Consider the following 9,696-nt stretch of genomic DNA (forward strand, 5'->3'; position numbering starts at 1 on the left):
TGAAAGGGCATTTTAGACTTCAGGCAGCAGTGTGCAGGATGGATAGACCGTGTTTCTGAAGAGTGAGTGAGAGTATCACAGAGAGGATTTGAACATCCTGGGGCCAGGGGTGGGGTAGGGCACTGGATGACCTCCAAAGTTCTTTTCCAGGCCTAATAGTTTACGTGTCAAGTTTTTTCCCTAAATAATTTAAAATGCACTCGTGGACCCCACTATTTAAAAGGATCCTCCCAGATATATATTTGTGATTCACTTCCTAGTTTGTCTCCAGTGGAAGTCCAAATTTCCATGCAGTCTATCAGCTTCAAGCAAAGTAAACCTGCACTGAGCTTCCCTGCAGCAGCCAGGTGGGAAGGGGGCGGGAAGGAGAGGGAAAACAGCAAAGGGAGGTAAAGAGGAAGAGAAACTCAGCCTTGCTCCAGGCTCAGAGCCAGCCACCATCTCATGGAGTGGGCCTTGCCTGGAGTCCTCAAGCGCTGCTTGATCAGGGGACCTTTGGAGGTTTACATAGTCCTTGTGCCAGCTCTGGGAAGGAGCTAGATGGAAGGCGGGTTTGGAGATCAAATCGAATACCAAGGGTCACCTCTGCCCCAGAATGGCCACCAACATTCACTTACTCATTTGTGCACCCACTGAGCACCTACTGAGCCCCTCCACATGCCAAGTGCCATGCTAGGCACTGAATTTGTGGCTGAGAACAAATGACGGTGTCTCCCTCATACTGTTTACAAGGCAGCATTTCTCCTTGAGGACTCTTATTTCCCCACCTGAAAAAAGCCTCTTTGGATATACACAGCTTCTCAGATGAGAGGTGCATGATGATGATTTCTAAGAAAGAGCCTGTTCTTAGAGACCAGAGTGAAAGGGAATGTGCCACCCCTTAGAGGAAGAGACTGCCGGTGACGGAAAGAGCCTGCCACCCAGCTCCTCTGATTACAGGGACTGACCTCCAGAGGCTAAGGGACCTGCTTCAGGACACACAGAAGATTCATGGCAGGAATCTACATAGTGACGCTCCCATGTGGGAAGGGAGGGATGTCACCTCAGTCCTCTCAGGGGAGCCTCAAGTGACTTCCTACCTCCCATCCTGAGCACAAGGAGGACAAGACCAGGGTCAGACCTCATGTGAAAAACACCAACCAAGGCTGTTCCCACCAATCCTATAAGAGCGCCTCTGCCCTTCTGGGAGGGGAACTTCCAGCTCCCAGGCCTGTTCCCCTTCCTAAGAGCTGTGTTAAAATTTGCACAACATGATGCTTCCTTTAAGACAGGTCTACATCAATAGAGGGCTGGAATGCCAAAGCAGGAATCTCCACCGAGGTGGCTGCTCTCTAGGTAGGTGAAGGCTGATGTAAGGAAAGAAAGCAGTCCCTGCAGTCCCTCCTCAGGTCACCGGGACACTCCCAGGGCTCAGCAGTGATTCCCATGACCTTGTCACTGTACTTGTCCGGTGCAAACAAAGATAAGAGTAACTGGAAACAACAGAGAGGGTCATTTTATACTCTCTGCACTCTCAATTCTTCCATAGCTAATTAAAGTAATACGTCAAAATGTCCCTTGGAAGAGCTCTTTAAGAATATGTCTGTTAAATAAACAAGGTTTCACTGATTAATGACACACCTTCCCATCCCTCGTTGAAGTTCCTTGTGGAACTTCTGGGCCAGGAGGGTTGAGCAGGAAAGGATGGAGGAGAAGTCGCCATCACCCTTTCTTGGAGGGAGGGGGCACATATCCAGCCTCTTGTCATTTGTGGAGCTATCAGTTTCTCCTCTGGATGCTGATCAGATTTCCTGGGCTGGAACCAACTTACAGGGCCAGGGTACTGGAATTTTTCCAAGAAGTAAACGCTTTGCTTCTTACAAAGTCAACATGATTTCTTTCAAGGAAAATTTTAATTTTTTTAGTGTCTAGGGTTTTTGAAGGGCAAATCTTTGGACCTTTCTCTAAAGAGAATGATTATATTATCCTTTTTTTTTTTTTTTTTTTTTTTTTTTTGCTCTAAGACCACCTCTCCACCACACACACACACACACACACACACACTCATAGAGAGGCATGGGGGTGGGAGAATGATTTGTCCAATATTGCACAATGAGTCAGTGGCATAGCCAGAAATACAACTATACAAACTCCCAATTCTTAATAATAGAAATATTAATATAGTCTCTATAATTTTCTATTTATTTTTGTTTTCACAGCTCACATTTAATTTTCACAACAACTCTGGGGGAATCTGGGTAAAACGGTCTCAGGAGAGAGCAGATCTGAATTGCAGACCAGCTCTGTCACTTGCTTGCAGTGTGATCCTGGCTGCTTCCCTCTCCTCTCTGGATCTCAGTGCCCTCGGCTGTGAAATGGGAGAATTGGATGAGAGTACTTCTAAAATCACTCCCACCTCTAATGTGCTGTGATTCTGTGCTGCAATGCTCCAGTCCCGGGTTTCTCAATCTTGGTGTTAATGACATTTTGGGCCAGATAATTCCTTGCTGTGAGACGTGTTCTGTGCACTGTAGGATGTTCAGCAGCATCCCTGGCCTCTACCTAGTGGATACTAGTAGCACCCCATTCCCCAGTTGTAACAAGAAAAAGTGTCTACAGACATTGCCAAATATCTGGGAGGGGGAACAAAATAACCCCTCTAGTCACCATTCAAGGATTTCGATAAGGTAAAAATCATGAGTGGTTCAGGGGAAAAACGGTCTTCCTCTCCCTTCCTTTCCCCCAACCCTTTCACACCTTTCTGCACACTTTTCAAAGACAACCTCTCAGTCCTTTGCTGCTTCTTATTTCTTAAATGCCCTAAATGGTCTGGGGTGTGTTTGGTGTGATAATGAACCAATTGATTTCATACTTTCTCCTAAGGAAAGTTCACAGGTTTATGTCCCCTAAGCAACCAGCCAGGCTCTCCAGAAATCCCTAGCAGAGCCCAGGCTGGCCTGGAAGCCTGTATCTGCAGCCTGCAGGAGGCTCGGTGAGCACGAATTTGTCAGCACTCTTAAATCACTAGGCTCCAAGGAAGGCTTCTCCCAGCAGAAAGATCCTTCCTTAGGAATCAATAGCTCAGGGCCCTCCATCACATTCAGAATTATCCTGGGACCCATAAAATTTCTTTTCCCCAAGCATGGCAGAACCCCAAAGTGAAAACCCTGAGGTGGGGCAGGGAAAGAGGCAAGGAGGGAGCCCTGCCAAGAAGGCCTTGCCCATCAGCCCAGATATTGCTGTGAGCAGAGGCTGATGTGCAAACCTGGGCACTCAGGCTCACTCACTGGGAAAAAGAAGACTCGGGGGTTCCCAGTGATTCAGCAATAATATCCCCTTCCAACTGAATACCTCTTTACCTCTAACCAAGGGCAGAGGAATACTAAAGACTGTCTCCCTCCAGCTTCGCTCCCCTACCCTCATCACATGGTTGTCAGCCTCATCATTTAGCAGAGAAGGAAACTGAGGCTTGCAGAGGTTAAGTGGTTTGTTTAAGGTCTCTAAGCCAGCAAGCGGAGACCAGATTCTAAGCCTGTGTCCTTACCATTACAATGAGAGGGGGAAGGGTCAGCCATCTGGTGGGGCTCATAAAAGCCCCACTGGACAATTTCCTGTTTCTCATAGTCTAATGCCACTTCTCAAGCTCTCTACCCACTCCCGCATTCAAACAAAAGTCCAGAGAGCTTGTACTATAACCACAATGTATGTAAGTATATTCCTCTGGTCTTATCCAGAACCAGAACAAGTCTTGAGAATGCAGGCTCATTTCACCAGGTAAAGCTAGGAGCTGGTGAGATCTCAAGCATAGCCTCTTAAGACTCCAGTTTAAAGAGAGGGGCTTTTCCTCTCCGGTGGTCCACGTGATCCTGCACCTCCCTCCTCCCGCTGAAGATGAAGCTCCAACTTCATCTTCTGTGAGCATGAGGGAGAGGAGGGGACTCAAGCATCTTCCCTGGCAACAAGCATCCCTTTCGTGAGTCTTAGGGAGAGAAGAGGATTCCGCCTCTCAGAATTCTGGCTTGGCAGCAGTGGGTTTCTTACGAGGGTAGGCTTCCGAGTCTGCTGAGGCTCCAAGGAGAACCAGGAGGAAGTCCATCCAGTGTGCAAAGAAGCCAGGTGGGGAGATAATAACAAAAGGGGGCCGGGCGCGGTGGCTCACGCCTGTAATCCCAGCACTTTGGGAGGCCGAGGCGGGCAGATCACGAGGTCAGGAGATTGAGACCACAGTGAAACCCCGTCTCTACTAAAAATACAAAAAGTTAGCCGGGCGTAGTGGCGGGCCCCTGTAGTCCCAGCTACTCGGGAGGCTGAGGCAGGAGAATGGCGTGAACCCGGGAGGCGGAGCTTGCAGTGAGCCGAGATTGCGCCACTGCACTCCAGCCTGGGCGACAGAGCGAGACTCCGTCTCAAAAAAAAAAAAAAGAGAACAAAGGGGGCCGCCCACAGGCCACTCAGCAAACCTGTTTCCCAGAGCCCAGCTCAGATGTCGACAGCCAGGCTCTCGGAACAGAAGAAAGGGCAATGGAAATGGTAGTATCTTGCAGGTCACCGAAGAAGTCCAAACATAAGGATTTGGCAAAAATAGAATGTCCTAGCACTCTGACCTTGAGCTGGGAGCAGCAAGGGTGGGGGAAATAGGCAAATACTCTTTGGAAACTCTCCAATCCATCTATAATCTGAATCTGGGAGGTCTCACCAGCAGTGGTGTGACTGCAAGCAGAGAGACCCCACGCCAACATTCCTTGGCGCTCCAGACCTGGGTTCCAAGACCACAGTGAGGGACTCGGCACTTCTGACTCCTAAATGCACAGACTGAAACCTGGACTTGCATGGCTTTTGCTTAAAACACCACTTGGAATAATGAGACGAGATTGTAGAGGCAGGGAAAGAATAATTAGGAATTTCTATGACCTGTGTATGTCCATGACAAGAACTGTATTTTCTCCTCACCTCCTCACTCTGAAAAACAGATTCAAAATAGAATCTCCCCAACTGTATGGGATGTATTAATTTACCAAAGCCTGGTCAGTCAATAACTATGAGTGCCTACTGTATAGAGAAAGTATGTCCATCTTTATAGTGAAGAGGAAGCAGGCCGCTGGAGTGGAAACAGCTCTGAATCGAGCAGTGGGAATCCTAGGGCCTAGTTCCATGTCTTCCACCAAATAGCCATGTGACCTTGGCTTTATCCAGCTTCAGTTTTCTCATCTGTAAATTAAATGTGCATGTGAGTGTTGGGATGGAATGGGGTTGGATGAGATGCTCTCCAAGGCTCCTTGCTTCTGGCTCTAATGTTCTGGAACTCCATGAACCCTTAAAGAGTTCAAAGAACACAGCGGCACCAAGCACAAAGGAATGATCCCCGAGAGAGGGTGGGGCTGTGTACCAGCTCTGTCTCCTTGGAATGTTGTGCTTGCACCTGCCCCATAGCACCCGAGGTCACAGGACCACCTGAAGCCCAGGAAGCATGTGGTAGAAGGATTCCAAGTACGATGGTGGTGGTTGAAGGCTGTAGCCTGAGCTGCCTTAAAGCATTAAGTTGCTACAGCCAGTAAAGGGCAAGAAGTGAGAAAGTCAGTGGTCCTGAGCCAGGTACCTTTGGCGCCCCCTACTGGACACCAAGGAGTCTGCTCCACCTTTAGGCTTCCACCGCCTCAGCACGGAAGCAAGGGAGCGCTTGAGCATGAGAGGCTGTCACAAGCTGTTTAGTAGGACTGCCTTCCCGGTTGGTGGTATTCTTTCTATAGAAGTCTATTGCACTCCCTAGAATTACACAGGCCATTGGTCCACAGATTTACAGGGGCACCCCTGCGCAGCCATAGGACGTCTTAACCAAACATCAAGGTACCAAGGAATAAACACCAGGGTTCAGAACACCAGGTGCAGCCCAGATGGAGAAGGGAAGAAAGAGCAACAAGCAGGTATTTCGCTGCACAAATCCCCAGTGGAGAGAAGGTCTTGGGAAATGCAGCAGAAAAATGTTGACTGCAGCAGACAACGATGGAGCTGGGGGTTGGGATATAGATTGATAGCACCCATAAAATATCTCCAGGCTGAAGCAGGTACCCTAGGAGTTTGAACATCCACCTACATTCAGGGATGGGATAAGGTGGAGGATTCAGGCTCAAATGAGCAGCCACAGAGCAGGTTCCCCAGACTCCCTACACACCGTTTCGACCTTTTCCAGAGTCCATTAGTACCCACCGGAAATGGAAATGTTCTAATTGTGGTCCTCTGTGCCATCATCAAGACCCTCAACTCCCTTCATTACCTCTTAAATTGACTTTAGGACCTACTGCCAGAAGGATGTTCTTAACCAAGTCAGAGAGAGAGAGAGAACATTTTCTCAAGAACCATGCTGGAACAGCCACCATGTTCCCACTTTTCCAGCCTCCACCTCTCCCCCATGGCTGAGGGTGAGGTACTCTGTGACTCTCAATGAGCTCTAATTCAGTCTTGGACATCTCCAGCCCCAAGTCGTCTGGGTTCCAAATCTCCGTCAATCGCTTATCTCTTCCCACATGAGTTCTCCCCTGACTCAAGAAAACACTATAGAACTGTCCCCTGTCCTGGGACCCTCTTCCCTTCTTTTCCACTTGGCTTCACGTGGAAAGTCCTGCACCCATCCCAGAAGACACCTCAAGTGCAACTCAAGAATGTGTCCTGTCAGGAGAACGGAAGCATCTCCTGGGATGTGCAGAAGCCACACTGGGTGCACCCACCAGCAGCAGCAGCGGCGGCGGCGGCGGCGGCGGCGGCGGCGGCGGCGGCAGCAGCAGCAATATTCATTAGTCATTCCTGGAGGAAGCCCCCCCAGCTCTCAACCCTAGGAGAATTTCCCCGCCACTCTGGGAGGCTTCCATCCAGGCTGGGATGACTTTGGATTCTTGAGTTGCTTTCTGCAGAAGCGGGACTAACCAGGGCTCCCAACTACTGTACTGCAAAGAAGCGCGCTGCATTGCTGGGCATGCCCCCAAGCCCGGCCTGGCTGCCCCATCAAAGCCTCCAAGTGCCCCCACGGGGTCGAGGAGGACTCAGGGTTCCCCTGGAATGCCTGAAGCCGGCTTGCCTCAGGCAGCCTGAAGGGAAGACCACACCTCGTCCAGCATAAGGCGGCTAGCAGCTACGCCGCGCGCGGGGCTGGCTCCCGGAGCTCTCTGCCACCCAGCGCTGTGCCCGGGAACTCGGCTTCCCAGGGGAGGAAGAGCCAGCCCGCGGGGCTCTTCCCCAGCCTGGAAGCGTAGGCACTCGGCCGAGGCCAGTGGCTTCCCAGGCCCGGGTCTCAGCCTGGCTGACTGGGAGACTCTCCCGATAGCCCGGCACATCCCTCCTCACCCGCTCCGCCCCCTCCAGGCCCCAGAGGCCCCCTCCCCTGACAGCTGACCTCCAGTGCGCCCCCAACACTTTCTCTGCCAGCTGCTGGCTGTCGCCCCCACACATCAGCTCCCACCTCTCCGCCACCTCCAACCCGGCCGCCGCCTCACCCCCAGCCCGCGGGGGAGGCTCCGCGCGCCAATCGAGTCCAGCGCCTCCCAGCAAGTTAGGAGCGAAGCCGCCGCCTTCGCGATCCCAGTCTTCCCGGGTTCCCGGGCGGCGTCCCCGCCACCCTTGCGGGCGGATCCGGGGGGGCGCGCAGAGCTGGAGAAACTTTCTCCGCCTTAGGGTGGGGGGCACCGGTGCAGATACTCACGCCGGGGTCAGCGCTCGGAGCCATCCTCCCGCTCTCGGCCCCGCCGCCTAGGGGCGTGGGAAGCGGGCGCTCGCTGCCGCCTCTGCCGCCGGCGCCGCCGCCTGCTTGCTCCCAGCCCCGGTCCCGGGCTGGCCTCGAGCCTCCCGCCCCGACGCCGCGCGCTCGCTTTATACAACTCCACTCGAGCGCGCCCGGTCTTATGTAAAGGCTGGCGGAGGCCCGCAGCCAATGGCGCGGCAGCTGGAGCCGGGGGCCCGGGGTGGGGGGCGCCGGCGCGGCCAATCGCGGCCCCGAGAGCCCGGAGAGCCGGGCGTGGGGAGGGAGCGCCTCCCCGCGCTGATTTAGGAGCCGGGATTGCGGTGGCAGCAGCCGGCAGCCAGGCTGGCCCGGCGCGGCGCGGCGGCCACTGGGGTGGGCGGCGGCGAAGGCGGCGGCGAGGGCGGGCGCCCCCCGCGCCCCGCCACTGCGTCGCGTAACCTTCAGGCGGCAGCGAGGCCTGGCGAGGAGGGGAGAGGGCGCCTGGCTGGGCGCTGGGGGCCCCAGGCCGGAGGGAAGCGAGGGTCCCTCGGGAGGCAGCGCAGGGAAGGAACGCGAAGGGGGAGGGGAGGGCGGCGAGCCCCAGGACCCCGCGGCCACCCCTGCGCGCAGGACCGAGGGTGGAGGCGGGAGCGGCTGCACTGCCTTCCCATTTCCCCCCAGGATAGCGATCTGGCGTCGCCGGGCCGGGCCAAAGCGGCCGAGCGAGCCGCGCTGATGGCGAGATTTCGACTACGGAGCTAGAGCCGAGCCGATCTTTATCCAGCCTGGGGACGTGTCCGAGCACCTCCCGGGGACTGCTCAGTATGGAGAGCAGGGCTCCGCGACGGCCCCCGCAGGCGGGGAGCGGGCGAGCGCAGCTCGGAGATCAGGCGCGCAGAGGCCCAGGCGGCTGCGGGCAGCGCCGCTTCTACCCCACCCCGTCCCCACCAGCAGTGCCCCCACCCCATCCCACCTAGTCCCTACCCCAGCAGTGGCCGAGTCGGGCCTGGCCCACCCGCTCCTGCCGCCTGCGTCCTACTAGCCTCCCTCACCGCTTTGATCACAGGTACTGCCCGCCTCTCCTCGCCCCCAACCCGCTGCCTTGGTGGTGGTGGGGGGATGGTTTCTGCCTCTCTGGACCAGGGGAATGGGGGTGCTAAGCGCCAGAAAAACACACTTGATCAGCAATGCTCAAAATACCCCTGTTCAGGCAGGAAACTGGCCTTGGTGGGTCACACTCTGAAGGCAAATCCTTTATTTTACGCCTAGAATAGAGCCTGGCACATAGTAGGCGCTCAGTGTTTATTGAATGAATTCTGAGCTTCCATGAGTGAGGTCTTTGGGTTTCTGAAAGCCAGGTAAAGGGGCCACAGAAGAGAAAGACTTGGGAATCCACCATCGGAGAGGGAAGGAGCTAGGACTGTTTTCCCATCCGTTGACGCTTTTGTGACCATCACCCACTAGTCTGGCTTCTGGGCCCTTGACTCTTAGAATGATTTGAATGTGTTCTTTTATAGAGGGCCACACATCCAGCCTCTGGCCCCTGTTATCCACAGATTTTGAGCAGAACTACCAGGACCTAGTCTGGGCTCTGTTTTCAGGTCTCTGTGATCTTCCTCTGAAAAGAAATAGCTAGGCACAGACAAACTTTCTGGCTTTTTGAGCCCCCATCAAGCCTGTAAGGTTGTGGGCCCCTTTGAAAATCTGGCAAAAATTACTGAATCATTTTTCTAGAAAAATATACAAACACACACATTTACACACACACACACACACACACACACACACACACACACACACACCTTGAGTATACTTTCAGGATCATTAGGAACCCTGAGTCTCTTGGGGCTCGGTCCAATGTCAACCTGTTTCTTCAGGGGTCTAGGACAGTAGTTTATAATCACCCTCCTTTTGGGGATCACAGACCCTTTAGAACCTTTCAAGAATCTCATAAATGTTATGGATCTGTTGCTTATAAAAATGCTCACTCACATACACACATGTTGACA

The 9,696-nt window shown here is 53.6% G+C and overlaps 1 protein-coding gene across 2 annotated transcripts in view; it reads right to left on the reverse strand.

The window, feature by feature from the left end:
* Positions 1-7,842, reverse strand: part of CRTAC1 (cartilage acidic protein 1) — a 165,622-nt gene extending 157,780 nt beyond the window's left edge. For both annotated transcript variants that reach the window (NM_018058.7, NM_001206528.3), the window contains exon 1: positions 7,670-7,842. In NM_018058.7, coding sequence (NP_060528.3) covers positions 7,670-7,693 — 24 coding nt within the window. In that variant the 5' untranslated portion in view covers positions 7,694-7,842. The remainder of the gene's footprint in view (positions 1-7,669) is intronic.

The sequence above is a fragment of the Homo sapiens genome, chromosome 10 (assembly GCF_000001405.40).
Source record: "Homo sapiens chromosome 10, GRCh38.p14 Primary Assembly".
Lineage (NCBI taxonomy): Eukaryota > Metazoa > Chordata > Mammalia > Primates > Hominidae > Homo > Homo sapiens.